Below are 19,522 nucleotides of genomic sequence, written 5' to 3'. Positions count from 1 at the left end.
AGTGATTCTCCTGCCTCAGCCTCCTGAGTAGCTGGGACTACAAGTGCCCACCACCACGCCCAGCTAATTTTTTTGTATTTTTAGTAGAGACAGGGTTTCACCGTATTGGCCAGACTGGTCTTGAACTCCTGACCTTGTGATCTGCCCGTTTTGGCCTCCCAAAGTGCTGGGATTACAGGCGTGAGCCAATGTGCCTGACCAGTTGTTTTAATTTTTAGCTCCCACAAATAAGTGAAAACATGTGAAGTTTGTCTTTCTGTGTCTGGCTTATTTCACTTAACATAATGACTTCCAGTTCAATCCACGGTGTTGCAGACAACAGGATCTCATTCTTTTTATGGCTGAATAGTGCTCCATTATGTATAAGTACCACATTTTCTTTATCCATTCATCTGTTGATGGACACTTAGGTTGCTTCCAAATCTTAGCTATTGTGAATAGTGCTGTAATAAACGTGGAAGTGCAGATATCGCTTCGATATACTGATTTCCTTTATTTTGGGTATATACCTAGGAGTGGGATCACTGGATCATATGGTAGCTCTATTTTTAGTTTTTTGAGGAACCTCCAAACTGTTCTCCATAGTGGTTGTACTAATTTACATTCCCACCAGCTGTCTACAAGGGTTCCCCTTTCTCCACATCCTTGCCAGCATTTATTATTGCCTGTCTTTGTATAAAAGCCATTTTAACTGGGATGAGATTATATCTCATTGTAGTTTTGATTTGCATTCCTCTGATAGTGATGTTGAGCAGCTTTTCGTATACCTGTTTGCCATTTGTATGTCTTTTGAGAAATGTCTATTCAGATATTTTGCCCATTTTTGATTGGATGATTAGATTTTTTTTCCTGTAGAGTTGCATGAGCTTCCTTATGTATTTTGGATATTAATCCCTTGCCAGATGGGTAGTTTCAAAATATTTTCTCCCATTCTTTGGGTTGTCTCTTGTTGATAGTTTCCTTTGCTGTGCAGAAGGTTTTTAACTTGATGTGATCCCATTTGTCCATTTTTGCTTTGGTTGCCTGTGCTTGTGGGGTATTACTCAAGAAATCCTTGCCCACTCCAGTGTTCTGGAGAGGTTCCCCAATGTTTTCTTTTAGTAGTTTCATAGTTTGAGGTCTTAAATTTAAGTTTTTAACCCATTTTCATTTGATTTTTTTTTTATATGGTAAGAGATACGGGGTCAACCTTCATTCTTCTGCGTAAAGATATCCAGTTTTCCCAGCACCATTGACTGAAGAGACTGTCCTTTCTCCATTGTATGTTCTCGGCACCTTTGTCTAAAGTGAGTTCACTGTAAATGTGTGGATTTATTTCTGCATTCTTTATTAGACTGTTTCACTGGTCTAATGTGTCTGTTTTTATGCCAGTATCATCCTGTTTTGGTTACTCTAACTGTAGTATAATTTGAAGTCAGGTAATAAAATTCCTCGTTTTGTTTTTTTCCTCAGGATAGCTTTGGCTATTCTGGGTCTTTTGTGGTTCCATGTAAATTTTAGGTTTGTTTTTTTCTCTTCTTTTCTTTTTTTTTTGGTGGGGGGGTTGGGGGGCGGGACAGAGTCTGACTGTGTCGCCCAGGCTGGAGTGCAGTGGCACAGTCTTGGCTCACTACAACCTCTGCCTCCCAGGTTCAAGCGATTCTTGTGCCTCAGCCTCCTGAGTAGCTAGGATTACAGGTAGTCGCCACCTCACCTGGCTAATTTTTGTATTTTTAGTAGAGACGATGTCTTACCATGTTGGCCAGGCTGGTCTGGAACTCTTGGCCTCAAGTGATCTGCCCACCTTGGCCTCCCAAAGCACTGGGATTGCAGGCATGAGGCATCACGCCTGGCCTAGAATTGTTTTTTCTACTTTTGTGAAGAACATTATTGGTATTTTTATAGGGATTGCATGAAATCTGTAGATTGCTTTGGGGAGAATGGGCATTTTAACAATATTGAGTTTTCCAACCCATGAATATGGAATGTCTTTCCAGTTTTTTGTGTCCTTTTCAATTTCTTGCTCCAGTGTTTTAGTTTTCATTGTAGGGACTTTTCACTTATTTGGTTAGTTCCTAGGTATTTAATTTTATTTGTAGTTATTGTAAATGGGATTACTTTCTTGATTTCTTTTTTAGATTGTTTGCTATTGGCCTATAGAAATGCTAGATTTTTGTAGGTTGATTTTGTATCCTGCAGCTTTACTGATTTTGTATGAGTTCTAATAGTTTTTTGGTGGAGTCTTTAGGTTTTTCCAAATACGAGATCATATCATCTGCAAACAAGGATAACTTGACTCCTTCCTTTCCAATTTGGATACCCTTTATATCTTTCTCTTGTCTGATTGCTCTAGCTAGGACTTCTAGTACCGTGTTGAATAACAGTGGTGAAAGTGGATATCCTTGTTGTATTCCAGATCTCAGAGGAAAGGTTTTTTTTTTTCCTCATCAGTATGATACTAGCTGAGAGTCTGTCATATATGGTGTAATTATATTAAGATATGTTTCTTCTATACCAAGTTTTTTTAAGGTTTTTATTATGAAGGGATGTTGAATGTTATCAAGTGCTTTTTAAGCATCCATTGAAATGATCATATGGTTTTTGTTCTTCATTTTGTTGATATGATGATATATCAGATTGATTGATTTGCATATGTTGAACTATCCTTGCATCCCTGGGATAAATCCTATTTAGTCATGATGAATGATCTTTTTAATGTGTTGTTGAATTTGGTTTGCTAGTATTTTGTTGAGGATTTTTGCATCAATTTTCATCAGTGATATTGGTCTGTAATTTTTTTTCTTTTAATATGTAATATGTCTTTGATTTTGGTATACAGGCCTCATAGAGTGAGTTTGGAATTATTCCCTCCTCCTCTAGTTTTCAGAATAGTTTGAGTAGGATTGGTATTCGTTCTTTAAATGTTTGGTAGACTTCTGTAGTGAAGCCATCAGGTCCCAGGCTTTTCTTTACTGGGAGATTTTTTATTATGGCTTTGATGTTGTTGCTTGTTATTGGTTTGTTCAGGTTTTGGATTTCTTCATGGTTCAATCATGGTAGGTTGTAGTATCTAGGAATTTATCCATTTTCTCTAGATTTTCTCATTTATTGGCATATAGTTGATCATAGCAGCCACTAATGATCCTTTGAATTTCTGTGGTATCAGTTGAATGTTTCCTTCTTTATCTCTGGTTTTACTTAGTTGTGTCTTCTCTTTTTCTTAGTCTGTCTAGCAGTTTGTCAATTTTTTTTTTCAAAAAAAAAAAAACCTTTTGTTTCATTGAAGTTTTGTATTTTTTTTGTTTCAGTTTCACTTATTTCTGCTCTGATCTTTATTTTTTGTTTTGTTTTGTATTTTGAGATGAAATCTCACTCTGTTGCCCACCCTGGAGTGCAGTGGCACAATCTCGGCTCACTACAACCTCCACCTCCCAGGTTCAAGCTATCCTCCTGCCTCAGCCTCCCGAGTAACTGAGATTACAGGTGCACACCACCATGCCCGGCTAATTTTTTTGTATTTTTAGTAGAGATGGGGTTTCACCAAGTTGTCCAGGCTTGTCTTGAACTCCTGACATCAAGTGATCCACCTGTCTCAGCCTCCCAAAGTACTGGGATTACAGGCGTGAGCCACTGCGCCTGGCCTGATTTTTATTATTTCTTCTACTAATTTGGGGTTTGGTTTGCTCTTGCTTTTCTAGTTCTTTAATATACATCATTAAATAGTTGTTTATTTGAGGTTTTTTTCTTTTTTGATGTAGGCACTTATAGCTATAAACTTGCCTCTCAGTACTGCTTTTGTTGTATCCCATAGCTTTTCGTATGTTGTGTTTCCTTTATCATTTATTTCAAGAAAATTTTCAATAATTCCACTTATTATTGATCTCTAGTTTTATTCTATTGTGGTCAGAGAAGATGCTTTATATTATTTCAGTTTTTTTAAATGTTTTAAGACTTGTTTTGTGACATAACATATGGTCCATCCTTGAGAATGATCCATGTGCTGAGGAAAAAGAATGTGTACTCTGCAGCTTTGGGATGAAATGTTATGTATGTATCTATTAGGTCCATTTGGTCTGATTAGGTCCATTTGGTACAGATTAAGTCTGATGTTCATTGATTTTCTCTCTGGAAGATCTGTCCAACGCTGAAAATGGGATGTTGAAGTTACCAGCTATTATTATATTGGGGTCTGTCTCTCTTTTTAGCTGTAACAATATTTGCTTTATGTATCTGGGTGCTCCAACACTGGTATATGGATCCAGTGTTGGGTCCATATACAATTACAATTGTTACATCTTCTTGCTGAATTGCCCCCTTTATCATTATATAGTGACCTTCTTTGTCTCTTCTTATAGTTTTTGTCTTGAAATCTATTTCGTCTGATATACGTATAGCTACTCCTAGTCTTTTTTGATTTCCATTGTCATGGAATGTGTTTTTCCATCCTTTTATTTTCAGTCTATGTGTGTCTTTGTAGGTGAAATGTGCTTCTTGTAGGCAACAGATCACTGAGTCTTGTTTTTTTGTTTTTTGTTTTTTTAATCCCTTCAGCCACTCTGTCTTTTTATTGGAGAATGTAGTCCATTTACATTCAGTGTTGTTATTGATGAGCAAGGGCTTATTCCTTCCATTTTGTTACTTATTTTCTGGTTGTTTTATGGGTCTTGTCTTCCATCCTTCCTCCCTGTCTTCCTTTTAGTGAAGGTAATCTTCTCTGGTGGTATGATTTTAATTTCTTATTTTTTATTTTCAGCGTATCTGTTGTATGTTTTTTGATTAGAGGTTACCATGATGCTTGCAAATACTATCTTATAACCTATTATTTTACACTGATAGCCTAACACTGTTTTCATAAACACACAAGCAAAAAGAAAACTAATAAAAACTCTACACCTTAACTTCATCCCCCTGCTTTCTAACTTTTTGTTGTTTTTATTTATATCTTATTGTACTGTCTGTGTCTTGAAAAGTTGTTGTAGTTATTTTTGATTTATCTTTTAGTCTACTTAAAATAAGAGTAATTTACACACCACAGTTACAGTGTTATTCTGTGTTTCTCTATATAATTACTGTTACCAGTGAGTTTTGTACCTTGAGATAATTTCTTAATGCTCATTAGTGTCCTTTTCTTTCTGATTGAAGTACACCTGTTAGCATTTCTTCTAGGCTAGATCTGGTGTTGATGAAATCCCTCAGTGTTTGTTTGTCTGGGAAAGTCTTTATTTCTCTATGTTTGAAGTATATTTTAGCCAGATAAATTATTCTGGGGTAAAAGTTTTTTTCCTTCAGCACTTTAAATATGTTATGCAACTCTCTTCTGGCCTGTAAGGATTCCACTGAAAATCTGCTGCCAAATGTATTGGAGTTCAGTTGTATATTGTTTCTTTTCTGTTGCTGCTTTTAGGATTCTTTCTTTATCCTTGACCTTTGGGAATTTGATTATGAAATGGCTTGAGATAGCTTTCTTTGGGTTAAATCTGCTTGGTGTTCTGTAATCTTCTTATATTTGGATATTGATAACCTTTCCTAGGTTTCTGCTATTATTTCTTTGAATAAACTTTTTTTTTTAAATACATCTTCTATTCCTATCTCTTTTTCTGCCTCCTCCTGAAGACCAGTAACTCTTAGGTTTGCCCTTTTGAGGCTATTTTCTAGATCTTGTAGGTGTACTTCATTCTTACTCTTTTTTCTTGTGTCTCCTCTGACTGTATTTTCAAATAGTCTGTCTTCAGGCTCACTAAATCTTTCTTCTGCTTGATCCTTCTGCTATTAAAAAACTCTGATGCATTCTTCAATATGTCAGTTGCATATTTCAACTCCAGAATTTCTGCGTAGTTCTTTTTTAATTATTTAAATCTCTTTGTTAAATTTTTCTGATAGAATTCTGAACTCCTTCTCCGTGTTATCTTGAATTTTGTTGAGTTTTCTCAAAACAGCTATTTGAATTCTCTGTCTGAAAGGTCACTGTATTAGTCCATTCTCGCATTGCTATAAATATCTGAGACTGGGAAATTTATAAATAAAAGAGGTTTAATTGGCCTATGTTTCCACAGGCTGTACAGGTAACGTGATTCTGACATCTGCTCGACTTCTGGGGGTGCCTCAGGAAACTTAGAATCATGGTGGAAGTCAAAGTGGGAGCAAGACGTCTCACATGATTAGAAGCAGGAGGAAGAGGGGCGGAGAGCTGCTACACACTTCTAAACAACCAGATCTTGCGATAACTCACTATCAGGAGGAACAGTACCGAGGGGATGGCTCTAAACCATTCGTCAAGGACCACCCTCATGATCCAGTCGCCTCCCACCAGGCCCCACCTCCAACATTGGAGATTATAATTTGACATGATATTTGGTGGGGATACAGATTCAAACCATATCAGTCACATATCTCTGTTTCTCCAAGATTGGTCCTTGCTACCTTGTTTAGTTCATTTGGTGAGGTCATGTTTTCCTGGATGGTCTTGATACTTGCGGATGTTTGTTGGTGTCTGGGCATTGAAGAGTCAGGTATTTACTGTAGTCTTTGCAGTCTAGACTTTTTTTTTACCCACTCTTCTTAGGAAGGCTTTCCAGGTATTTGAACTTGGGTATTGAGATCTAAGCCGTGTCTGCCTTAGGGGGCATCCCAAGCCCAGTAACCTGTGGTTCTTGCGGATTTGTAGAGTTACCACCTTGGTAGTTTCGGATAAGACCTGGATGAATTCTCTGGATTACCAGGCAGAGACTCTGGTTCTCTTCGCTTACTTTCTCCCAGACAAACTGAGTCAGAGTGTGTGTGTGTGTGTATGTGTATATATGTGTGTGTGTGTGTGTGTCTCTCTCTCTCTCTTTCTCTGTGCTAATTCACCTGGAGGTGGGGTGGGGTGACAGAGTCACCCCTGTGGCTACCACCACTGGGACTGTGCTGGGTCAGACTGGAAGCCATGAGTATATCTTTATCCCTAGTGTTCATTAAGTAGCCTGCAGTGGACACTTAGGTCCCTGAGCTGATAGCACAAGAGGCAGATGTTCATGCAGTGATGGCGGATGGCTGGACACCCCTGCACAGTACTTGCAAGTGGTACCAGAGTGGCTTCTTTCTTACCTCAGTGTGATGCAGATATCAATGCCCAAACAAAAGCCTTTTTTTTTTTTTTTTTTTTTTTTTTTTTGAGACAGAGTCTTGCTCTGTCACCCAGGCTTGGGTGCAGTGGTGCAATCTGCGCTCACTGCAACCTCCACCTCCCAGGTTCAAGCTATCTTCCTGCCTCAGCCTCCCAAGTAGCTGGGACTACAGGCACACGCCGCCACACCCAGTTAATCAAACCAAAGCCTCTTGACCCCTTTGCATCTTGCTGCTGGGAAAGGAGACAGCAAAGATAACCTAGAACTCCTCCTGATGAACCATTACATCAAACCAGGGCTGAAAAACAACTTCAAAGAAACGGCATTTGATATTGCCAGGAGGACAAGTATCTATCACTCCTTCTTTGTAATGGTGGAAGGCTATACAAATTCTTCACCTCAGTCTTAATGGTTCTAGTAATTTTAGGTGTCTAAGTACCAGTGGCTCCTTCGTGCAAGATATAAAATATTCCCATAAGACAAAGTTGATTTAAAACGTCTTACTACAAAAATTCAGTGGTAAGGTAGTTACTATTATGTTCTTTAAAGTGAAATGCCTGACCTGATATCAGAATGTATTTGAAAGATGTTTGGATATATCTTTAATTATTTTTGTGGAGCTCGTGATTTTTATCAGAGATAATTTTAACTTGCCTAGACCTAAAAACTTGACATGACTTTGGGAGGCCGAGGCAGGCAGATCACTTGAGGTCAGGAGTTCGAGACCAGCCTGGCCAACATGGTGAAACCCTGTCTCTACTAAAAATACAAAATAAAAGTAAAAATAAAAATAAAAAGCTGAGTATCGTGGCACATGTCTGTAATCCCAGCTACTTGGGAGGCTGAGGCATGAGAATCGCTTGAACCTGGAAGGCAGAGGTTGCAGTAAGCCGAGATCGCACCACTGCACTCCAGCCTGGGCCACAAAGTGAGACTCAGCCTCAAAAAACCGACAAAAAAAAAACTTGACACAAGTTGAACAGAAACTGATTATTTTTGGTGCTGATCCAAGAGAAATGTATTTTTAAATACTGTACATCCTGGATCTTTGTTGAGTATTTAGTATATTGATATATATTTTTATAAGGTGAGGTAACTCAAAATTTAAGTCTTAAATATTGATGCAGTCATCTGTCTTCTCTACATTACCATAGCCAGTTACTTTCATTTTAAACCAGAAGAACTAACATATTAGTGACTTGAATCTTCATAAGTTAAAGGAAAAAAAAAAAACACTAAAAAGCCTAGATGTTTGTCTTTTAGACAATAGATAATTTTTAGGAAAGCAGTTAGCTAGGTGTTTCATCCATGAATGTTGTATACTGCCTCCCCTACCACAGTTCACACAATTCTGTGGATAGTCCTCCCTGGTCAACCTACATGTGATCTTTATTCTAATGGTGAATCAGTATGACCTTTTAGACATGCATACAACTACATTGTGGTCAAAGAGATCATAGTGTATCTGCCATCCAACTGCTTTTACCTGCCTAATCCTGCTGATTTGGGCACTGCTTACATAATCTCTTGAGTTCACAGGAAATGTTGATTTTCCAAGGTCTTTGTTTTATAGAAACCTTACAAAGCAAAGTGATAAGGGAAAAGGAATTCTAAAAGTGAGGGGATGATTATTATATTGAGGCTGAAACCACACAGTGGCTCAGGCTTAAAAACAGTATGGATAGTGACAAAAAGCATAATATAAACATTCAAGAAAATAAAGTATAAGTTTTAACAACAAAAATGATTTCTAGATTACTTACAATAGCTAATACAATGTAAATGCCATGTAAATAGCATGTACTGTATTTTTTATTTGTTGTACTGTATTTTTTGTTGTTGTATTGGCTTTTTAAATTGTTTTTTTTTCTTCAAATATTTTCAATCCACAGTTGGTCATATCTTCAGATGCAGAACTGTGGATTTGGAGAGCCTGCTGTAATAGGAGGGCAAATTTAAGCATTCATATTTTAACAATATTTAATAGCTCACAATATTTAATGTGAGCTTATTTACATGTAGTTTCTTTAATCAGATCAAAAGGATGATTATCCAATGACTTGTGCAAGCTCTTAGTCTCCAAAGCTTAGGAAAGAACTGCAGGTGATGTAGTCCAAGTCAATGAAATAAGCCTCAGAAAACCGATGCCTACAAATTGTGACTTGTTAAAATCAGAGTCCTGTTTATAATGTCTGAACCCAGAACTTGATCCTAGGTCTTCTGGTCCCACGGGAACCTTTTCTCTCATTGTACAAAATAATTCAGCCAGTGAAATAATCATCAACATATCTGAGATGGAACATGCTTTCATTTCAAACCAGATCCTCTTCCAGCCTTCCGTTTTTGAACAAGTTGGTACCACAATCTAACTAGTTGCCAAAGCCAGAAACTTAGAAGTTCTGAATACTTTATTTTTCCCAATTCCCCCATATCTAATTTTATCCTCAATAACTTATCAGGTACCATCAATTTTATCTCCTGTATAGGTCTCAAATCTACCTGCTTCTCTCTATCATTCTCCCACCTCCCTATTTCACTACTATATAACTCACTAATTTTCTCACAGGTCTATCCTGACCATTCTCCCATCTGTGTTCTCCATAGTGAAGCCAGAATGATCTTTTTAGAATGAGAATTTTTCCCCCTCCCTGCCTGGTCTCTTCTACACCACTTAAAGCCACCTCAGTGATTTTTCCATTGCTGTTATATTGAGGTCTATGAGCCTAAATATGTTAGCAAGCCCTGCCCACCCTCTTGTCTTAAACCTCCCCTCTCTTCCTGTATCTTTGCCCTCCAGACACATTGGGCTTATTTTGATTTTGGAATGCTTCTTACCTACTCCCCCTATCCCCCAGTCTTTGCCTAATTAATGACTAATTATTCTTTAAGTCCTAGGTCAGGCATCTGTCACTCAGGGAAGTCTCTGACATCCCAGAGTACTCCATGCCACCCCTTTATTTTAATCAACATTAAGTAAACTGTGCTTCTTTCTTCAGAGAATTATCTCAGTTTATAGCCATGTAGTCATAATTGCATTCCTTTGATTAATGTCAGTCTTCTCCCCAAACTGGAAATTCCATGAGAGCAGGCATTTGTTATTTTTTGTCCCCTGGTGTATTTTTTTATTTTCTATTATATTTCCAGTACACAGCACAGTGAAATGGCTCCATAAACGTTACCTGAGTAAGTGAAGTAATTCTCTGTAAGGTCTGGCTGAAGACCTTCATGTCTCCAAATAAGTAGCCTACAAGTATCTCTCTATTCTGATTTTACTTCTAGGCCAGTTCCAGCTTTTCTGTTGTAGTGAGTAGAATGGAGATATAAGCTCAGTTTCTGCTGGGCGGATCAAGGAAGTTGCAGGGTCCGTCAGTATTTAAGTGAATTTTGAACTTAATGAGATTCTTCAATTCATTCTGGAAGGAATGTAATTCTGGGTTGACTATAGCCACAATAGCATGATGCCAGGAATCAGGACTTAAAAGACTTTTCTTATGGAAGTAACTTCTGACTCAAACCCTAAAGTAAACCTATAGTGCTTACTGTCAGTCCAAGGAGTTCATCTCAGAAAAAAAAATCATTTTACCATAGTATATGTGAATTAAATGAGTTAATACAAGTTAGAGCTGGCTGGGCACGGTGGCTCACGCCTGTAATCCCAGCACTTTGGGAGGCTGAGGCAGATCCCTTGAGGTCAGGAGTTCGAGACCAGCCTGGCCAACATGGCGAAACACTGTCTCTACTGAAAGTACGAAACTTAGCGGGACGTAGTGGCATGCGCCTGTAATCCCAGCTACTTGGGAGGCTGAGGCAGGAGAATGGCTTGAACCCAGGAGGCGGAGATTGCAGTGAGCCGAGACTGCGCCATTGCACTCCAGCCTGGGTGACAGAGCGAGACTCCGTCTCAAAGTAAAAAGGAAAAAAAAAAAAAGTTAGTTCTAAGAACAGTTATTAACTCGTAGTAGGATATAAAAGTGTTAGGTAATGTGTGTAGAGCCAAAGAGACTTTGAGTCAACATTATGCCTAATATTAAATGTATTAAGAACATTTTAATTCAGGAAAGCATGCATTTCTTTGAACACTGCATAATGAACTGTGTTGAAAATAATTACTTAGCCTGTTTCTGCTTCCCTTTTGTGTTTCGGACCTTTCTCAATTTTACCTATTCTTATTATAATTTAAAAGCCCTTTTGAGATCCCTAGAGTAAAATAGGAGATGAATCTTGGCTGATTACTAGAAATAGAAAGATTTTAGCTGATTACCTCACTGGCAACTTTGATAGCAGCAACTTAAACTTGAGATCCCAGGCTTGGGTTCCTCTAAGGCTTAAAGCTTTCAGAAGTAAATGTACTTATTTTGTTAAGGAAATTCTTTGGAGACTCTTTTCATTAAATAATTTTCATTATGTCTGAACATGGCTTTAACTTGCCAAATTTCCCTTCTTTGTTTAGTATAATTATTTTTAAAGAGCGTGAAAATGTGTATTCTATTTTTAAAATTTAATATTTTTTCAGTGCTGACATATTCAACTATGATTTATTTTGATTTTCAGGTCTTTAGCAATGTTAATTCAAACCTGAGAGTTTTAAACTATGTTGGAATAATGGATACCATTGAGAATATAGTAAAATGTTTTGAACCTTCTTTCTAGAAAAATGTTTGCATATTCAAAATATTGTATACAGTGTTTCACTTTTCACAAATAATCCTGAAACTGATTCATATATTGTTTTTATTTTTATTTTTTTCGAGATGGAGTCTTGCTCTGTCACCCAGGCTGGAGTGCAATGGCACGATCTTGGCTCACTGCAACCTCCACCTCCTGGGTTCAAGCCATTCTCCTGCGTCAGCCTCCCAAGTAGCTGGGACTACAGTCATGGGCCACCACGCCCAGCTAATTTTTGTATTTTTAGTAGAGACAGGGTTTCACCATGTTGGCCAGGCTGGTCTCGAACTCCTGACCTCAAGTGATCTGCCCGCCGCTGCCTCCCAAAGTGCTGGGATTACAGGCATGAGCCACCGCGCCCGGCTGCATGTATTTTTTTTAAATGTTGCTCCTCTTTAGATATGTGACTAGTATATTTTCATTTAGTTAACATGTCCAGTTGTATTCAGTTTCATTAAAATTGATTTATAGTGCTATGGTGTTTAATTTGTATAACACAAAGTTTCTAGATCCTTCTTCTGGAAGCAGTAATAAAATAAAAAAGTGCAGTTGTGCTAAGTGCATTTTTGGGAGAATGCAGCATTTTAAGCCATGGCTATTCATATGGCAATTATAGCAGTTTTTATCACTCTGTGTTTTAAAAATGTAAGAGATTCTTAATAAAAACTGATGTGATTTTGTGTTGGGCATTTTTTAAAGGATGTTTTCTTTTTTAAAAAAAATTATTTTTAAATTTTTATTTATTTATTTATTTTGAGACTGGGTTATGAGACTGGCCAATTTTTGTATTTTTGGTAGAGATGGGGTTTCACCATGTTGCCCGGGCTGGTTTCGAACTCCAGGGCTCAAGCGATCCCCCCACCTTGGTCTCCCAAAGTGAGGTGTGAGCCACCGTGCCCAGCCTAAAGGATGTTTTCTTGAGTGATGGCTGTTGAATTATTTTGGTAGGACTTGGAATGCTTTTGTGGAATGTTTAAGTGGAATATTGGTTCTAAGTTTCCTATCTCAGGGATCCTGGACCTGCCATTTGATTAGCTGCATACATTTTTAAATTGAGGGGAACCAGAAAATCTTCCAAGATCTTTGAGTGCTGTGGACTCCTTTGGATGCAGTTTTCTTAGAGAACTGCTGGGTCCATCCAATCTTAGGATGACTGAGGTTATAAGATTTTCTCTAGTTTTTTTCTGCCCTGTCAGGCATCTTGTGATTTCATAGATTGCTGTCATCATCTTCTCCCTTGGTTATCTCATCCAATACCTCATGCCTTTTTTCTTTTCTTTTTTTTTTTTTTTTGAGACAGAGTTTCGCTCTGTTGCGCAGGCTGGAGTTTAGTGGCGCTATCTTGGCTCACTGCAACCTCCGCCTCCCGAGTTCAAGCAATTCACCCTACCTTAGCTTCCTGAGTAGCTGGGATTACAGGCACCCGCCACCAGACCCAGCTAATTTTTGTGTTTTTTAGTAGAGACGGGGTTTCACCATGTTGGCCAGGCTGCTCTTGGACTCCTGACCTCAGGTGGTCGCCTGCCTCGGCCTCCCAAAGTGCTGGGATTACAGGCATGAGCCACCGTGCCTGACCCTCATGACTTTAATATGATCCAATATCAGCTCTTTACAAATGAGTCCTAAATCTACCTCTCTAGCTCAGACCTCCCTCCTGAAATCCAGACTTAAATTTATCTGACTGCTGTCTTAACATCTCCAGTTAGAATTGGCATCTCAAAATCAGTATGTTCAAAACTGGATTCCTATTGTTTCCTCAGAAATGTAATCTTCCCTTTGTCAGTTGACAGTGCAGTCTCTCAAAAGCCTTGCACGCTTTCTTTATTACTCTCTTTGTATCATACTCCGTGTTTGGTCTGTTCGTATTATTGCCTCACCCTTCAAAATATATCCAGAATTCAAATACATCTCACTATCTCCGCTGCTACACCTTGGTCAGAGATACTTTTACCTCTTAGGTAGATTAAATGTCAGGTCGTAATACCTGGAACCTGAATGTTACATTATTTGGAAAAAAAATATCTTTACAGATGTGATTCAGGATCTTGAGATGCGGAGATTATCCTGGTTGGCTCTAAATGCTATCACATGCACCCTTCTAGAGAGAGGCAAAGGGAAGTTTGACACACGCAGGAGGAAGTGATGTGAAGACAGGCAGAGTTTGGAGTGATGCAGCTGTAAGCCAAAGAATGCGCATAGCAACCAGAACTTGGAAGAAACAAGAAATGAATTTTCCCCTAGACCGTCTGGAGGGAGTTCGGCCTTGCTGACACCTTGATTTCAGACCAGTAATACTGATTTCTGACTTCTGGCCTCCAGAACTGTGAAAGAATAAGTTTCAAGCCATATCGTTTGAGGTCATTTGTTACAGCAGCCATTGGAAATTAATACATTCTCCTGTTTAGGATTTCAGTCAAGGTTGTTCATTATGTTCGGTTGTTATGGCCTTGTTAATCTAAAATAATCTCCCTCACCTTTTTTGTTTTTCATGACACTGACTGTTTTTAATTTAAAGAGTCTAGGCATATTGTCTTGCAGACTATCCCACGTTGTGGAATTACCTGATTGTTTCCTCATAATTAGATTCACATTAAACATTTTTTCCAAGAATACCATATAGGTGATGTTGCATAAAGCCTATTATTAATACAACTGTCAGAGTGATTTTTTTTTTTCCCCAAATGGAGTCTTGCTCTGTCACGCAGGCTAGAGTGTAGTGGCATGATCTCAGCTCACTGCAACCTCCACCTCCCGGGTTCAAGCAGTTCTCCTGCCTCAGCCTCCCGAGTAGCTGGGATTACAGGTGTGGGCCACCATGCCTAGCTAATTTTTGTATTTTTAGTAGAGACAGGGTTTCACCATGTTGGCCAGGCTGGTCTCGAACTCCTGACCTCATGATCCGCCCGCCTCGGCCTCCCAAAGTGCTGGGATTATAGGCATGAGCCACCACGCCCAGCCTGGAGTGATTCTTTCAAAGCGCAGCATTCCTCTGTTTGAAAGTCTCCAGTGACTTCCCATTTGTTCAGAGGAAAAGCCAGATCCCTCATATGATCTGGCCGCCCGTAACCTCTGGAGCTTTCTCTCCTCTTCACTCATTATATTGCTTTTGTCTTGCTCTTTTCCAGACAATCTGAGCATGCTCCTGTCTTATGATCTTTGCTTTAGCTGTTCTGGTTGCCTGGAAAGCTCTTCCCCCCAAGGATCTTTTGGCTCACTGTCTCACCTCCTTCATGTCTGCCTAAATGCCCTGTGTCAGTGAGTCCTTTCCAGATGACTATTTTTAAAATTGTGATTCTCCACCTGCTTCCCAGTGCTGATCCCTCAATGCTCTTTACTGTCATGTTTTTCCATATCACCCTCTCTCATACCGTGTAACTTATTTATTATGTTTATTGTTTATTGCCTGTTTTCCCTACTGAACTATAAGCACCATGGTGGCAGGAATCTTTGTTTTGTTCCCAGAGTCATCCCAGAATGTTATGTTCATAGCAGGCACAAAATAGTTTGTTGAATGGATGAATATGAAAATACTTTAGATTAATATATCCTTCTTTGCCTTAATTCACAGTAGAGTCACAACAGTATTTTGAAATAACTTTGGATTTGCGGAAGAGTTCCAAAGACAGTGTAGAATTCCTGTTTACCCTTCACCCAGTTTCTCCAAATGTTAACGTTTCACATAACCATGGTACATTCATCAAAACTAAGAAATTAACATTGGAATAATACTGTTAACTAAACTCCAGGCTTCATTTGGATTTCGTGAATTTTTCCACTAATACCCTTTTTCTGTTCCACTGTCCAATCCAGGATACCACATTGCATTTAGTTATGTCTCTTTAGTCTCCCCTAATCTCTGCAGAGACTACTTCTTAAAGGATTCTTGTGGATTATTTGCTCAAGTGAATATTTCTTTTATTTATTTATGCCTCAGCATTCACATCGTGAATATTTCTAAAGGAAGGAAAGGTTGTAAAACTTAGGAGCACTAGAATATATAGCTACAGGGCATTGTTGAACTTTAGACAAGATCATAGGATTTGACATGTTTTCTGGGTCAAATGCAGAGTTTATCTAGCGTCTTCTCTTCTGCCATCAGAGCTTCCCAATCCTTTCATGTTGTCATTTGAAGAGGTGAATCCTAGCCTAACCATTAACTGTTTGTGACATTTTAATGGGTAAATGTAAATATTTCTGTAGTAAAGACGTGTTAGGTACCTACCCTGTGTAATGAACTGTATCGAATTCCTCCTTGTGAAGGGGGATGTAAAGAAATTTGAGTAAGTTTTTTACTAGCCTGGGTTCTAATATAGGTAATATATAACTAACAGACTGTAATAACAACTGGTTTGACAGCACAGAGGAAATTATTAATGTTAACTGGGTGAGGTGAGAAATAGGGAGAAGATCACATTTAAACTTGCCCTTAAAGTATTAATAGAATTTTTTAAAAAATTTATTCGAGACAGGGTTTCACTTCCACTGCTCAGATTGGAGTGCAATGGTGCAATCTCAGCTCACTGCAGCCTCTGCCTCCTGGGCTTAAGCAATTCTCCCACCTCAGCCTCTGGAGTAGCTGGGACCACAGGCACTTGCTACCACACCTGGCCAATTTTTATATTTTTCTGTAGAGAAGGGGTTTCTCCATGCTGCCCAGGCTGGTCATGAGCTCCTCAGCTCAAGCCAATCCACCCATCTCAGCCTCCCAAAGTGCTGGGATTATAGTGTGAGCCACCGTGCCTGACCTCATAGAATTTTTTTAAATGGCTTTATTGAGATATTATTAACGTATACATATCAAATGCACCATTTAAAGCAAACAATTCAATTGCTATGCATATATTCACAGAGTTGTGCAACCATTCCACAATAAATGTTAGAACATCTTCATCAGCCACAAAAGAAACCCCATACCTGTGTTCACTCCCCATTCTCCCCTTCACTCAGCTCCTGGCAACACATATTCTTTATATGTCTGTAAATTTGCCTATTCTGGTATTTCATATAAATAGAATTGTACAGTATGTGTCTGACATCTTTCACTTTGCATATTTTCAAGATTCATCCACATTGTAGCACTCATCAGTACTACATTCCTATTTATGGCCAGATATTCTATTTTATAGAAGTATATTTTAGTTTTTCATTCATCAGTTGATGGAAATTTAGGTTGTTTCTACTTTTGGGCTATTATGAATAATGCTGCTATGAACATTCAGATTTTTGCATGGACAGACATGTTTTTATTAATGTTGGGTATATACTATGTTTAACCACTTGAAGAATTAGCAGACTTTTTCAAAGCAGTTATTATTTTACATTTCCACCAGCAATGGATGAGGGTTCCAATTTCTTTACATCTAAGCCAACATGTGTTAATGTCTGTCTTTTCTATTTTGGTCATGCAAGTGGGTGTGAAGTGGTATCTCATTGTGGTTTCGATTTGTATTTCCCTAATGACTAATGATGTTGCATCTTTTCATGTGCCTATTGGTCATTTGTGTATGTTCTCATGAGGTGTATCATTTTAGTAGATGAAGAAAGGGGAATGGAAGGGAGCAAGAGAACAGGGACAAAGGCCTGAGAAATGGTGAGAGAATCAGTAAAAGAGAGTAGGGCTCTCAGATGATAGGAGTTAAGAGAGGACTATAGAAAACTGGGTCTCTAAGCTGATGTGTCAAGTCACACTGTCCTCTGCTTATCCTAAGCTTACCTTGCTCAAATTTCTTTTTTTTTCTTTTTCTTTGTTTTTGGTTTTTATTTTTTCTTAAATTTCAAGGATATTCCTTCTTTTGTAAATGTCACAGAGTATCATGGCTCTGTCGCCGAGGCTGGAGTGCAATGGTGCAGTCTCAGGTCACTGCAACCCCTGCCTTCCAGGTTCAAGCGATTCTCCTCCCTCAGCCTCCCAAGTAGCTGGGATTACAGGCACATGCCATCATGCCCGGCTAATTTTTGTATTTTTGGTAGAGATGGGGTTTCACCATGTTGGCCAGGCTGGTCTGGAACTCCTGACCTCAGGTGATTTGCCCACCTCAGCCTCCCAAAGTGCTGGGATTACAGGTGTGAGCCACCGTGCCCGTCCCAACCAGGCTTCTTAAATGAATTCTAAGATAGAAACAACAGGAGCTTCCAGGACTCTCTTAAGGGCTGAACCTAGGACTGTCACAGTGACATTTCTGCCATATTCTGCTGGTCACAAGGCAAGCCCAAATTCAAAAGGAGAGAAATAGACCTCTTAGAGTTTCCTAATAAAAGGTAATTTCATTAAAAATACAATTCATAAATTAGCCCTATGTTTACTACTGTCTTTTCAGCTCTTTTTTTATTCCATGCATTAATTGATTCGTCACCACTTGGATTGTGCCACCAATGTTTCTATGACATGATCTAAAAAAAAAAAAAAAAAAAAAAGGGCTCAGTAGTTTTCACTTAAAAGACAAAGAGGCCCACTGAGCTATTACAGATGTTAATTAGGATTCATTTACTTTAATATGGTAGAAAGAATGCTATGATACCACTTTAGTGATGAACAAAATAAGCTTAATCACATCCTAGGAGCTAAGTATTCTGACATTATAATCTCTTCTCTCAGAGTCCCATCACAGCAGTCTTAGGATTCAAGATCTATTCTTGGGAAACATTATAGAACCAGTGTGTCATGTACATACAAATGAGGGAAAATATAATGGCTTTGGTAATCCTGTAGTTATCTTTCTTGTCATATACTCTTTTTTTCATTTTTAAAAATTGGGGCAAAATTTATATAACATAAAGTTAACCATTCTGAAGTGTACAATTTAATGGCATTTAATACATTCACAGTGTTGTACGACTTTTTTTTTTTTGAGGAAAAGCATATTTTTAGGATAATGTCAAAACAGATTAATAAGATGCTAATAAGATGGCCAGACATTCACTCAGAAGTGTTTTTTGTTTTGTTTTGGTGAAATGGTATGAGAGATATGTTGCCTTACACTTAGGCCACTGCATTCCCGCTTAAGTGCCAGGATTGTGTCAGCAACAGGATGGCCTAAACAATCTCAGTCTTGTCTCCTGCCAGCCCCCTAAATCTTCCAGAATTGCAAGAATAGGCCAGGTGTGGTGGCTCACACCTGTAATCCCAACACTTTGGAAGGCCAAGGCAGGCGGATCACTTGAGGCCAGGAGTTTGAGACCAGCCTGGCCAACATGGCAAACCCCCATCTCTACTAAAAATACAAAAATTAGCCAGGCAGGTGTGGTGGTGCATGCCGGTAATCTCAGTTTCTTGGGAGGTTCGGGTGGGATGATCGCTTGAACCTGGGAGGCGGAGGCTGCAGTGAGCCGAGATCACGCCACTGCACTCCAGCCTGGGCGACAGAATGAGGCTTTTTCTTTAAAAAAAAAAAAAAAGGAAAAAAAAAGGCACATTTATCTCACCTTCCCTCCTATTCTGGGAATGCTAACATCCTCAGGGAATCTCCCATATTGGTCCCCTATAACCCAAGACTTGGGAGTTTCACAGCCCCACTCTAGGTCTGAAAACAACACAAAAGTTGTTCTAAGGGATGAAGCCACCCTCAATAAAACTGGAAGTCAAAGCCTGCATATAAGCCCCACTCCCTCCTGCCTAAAAAAGGAAAGGTATTTAGATGTTTTTGTCATGGATACTTTACTGGGATCAGGTAAGAACTGAACAAATGCAGTAAGTTATTGGAGAGTTAAAGGTTAAAAAAGGCCGTGTGCAGTCGCTCACCTGTAGTCCCAGGGTGAGGCCAGGGCAGGTGTGT

General features: G+C 38.8%; 1 protein-coding gene and 1 pseudogene across 18 annotated transcripts in view; both read left to right on the top strand.

Annotated features, from left to right (window-relative positions):
- DENND5B (DENN domain containing 5B) overlaps positions 1–19,522 on the top strand; it is a 208,911-nt gene that overhangs the window by 48,931 nt on the left and 140,458 nt on the right. The window contains exon 2 of one of the 18 annotated variants that reach the window (XM_047428420.1): positions 1,175–1,286. The exons of 16 other annotated variants lie outside the window; for them this stretch is intronic. The gene's annotated coding sequence lies outside the window, so the exon portion shown is untranslated. Of the gene's footprint in view, positions 1–986; positions 1,287–19,522 lie in introns of those variants that run through there. One more of the 18 variants, XM_047428419.1, reaches the window with a different exon arrangement.
- ANKRD49P2 (ANKRD49 pseudogene 2) lies at positions 6,959–7,491 on the top strand (annotated as a pseudogene).

This window comes from Homo sapiens, chromosome 12 (genome assembly GCF_000001405.40).
Source record: "Homo sapiens chromosome 12, GRCh38.p14 Primary Assembly".
In the NCBI taxonomy this organism is placed as follows: domain Eukaryota; kingdom Metazoa; phylum Chordata; class Mammalia; order Primates; family Hominidae; genus Homo; species Homo sapiens.
This window is presented reverse-complemented; position numbering and strand designations above follow the sequence as displayed.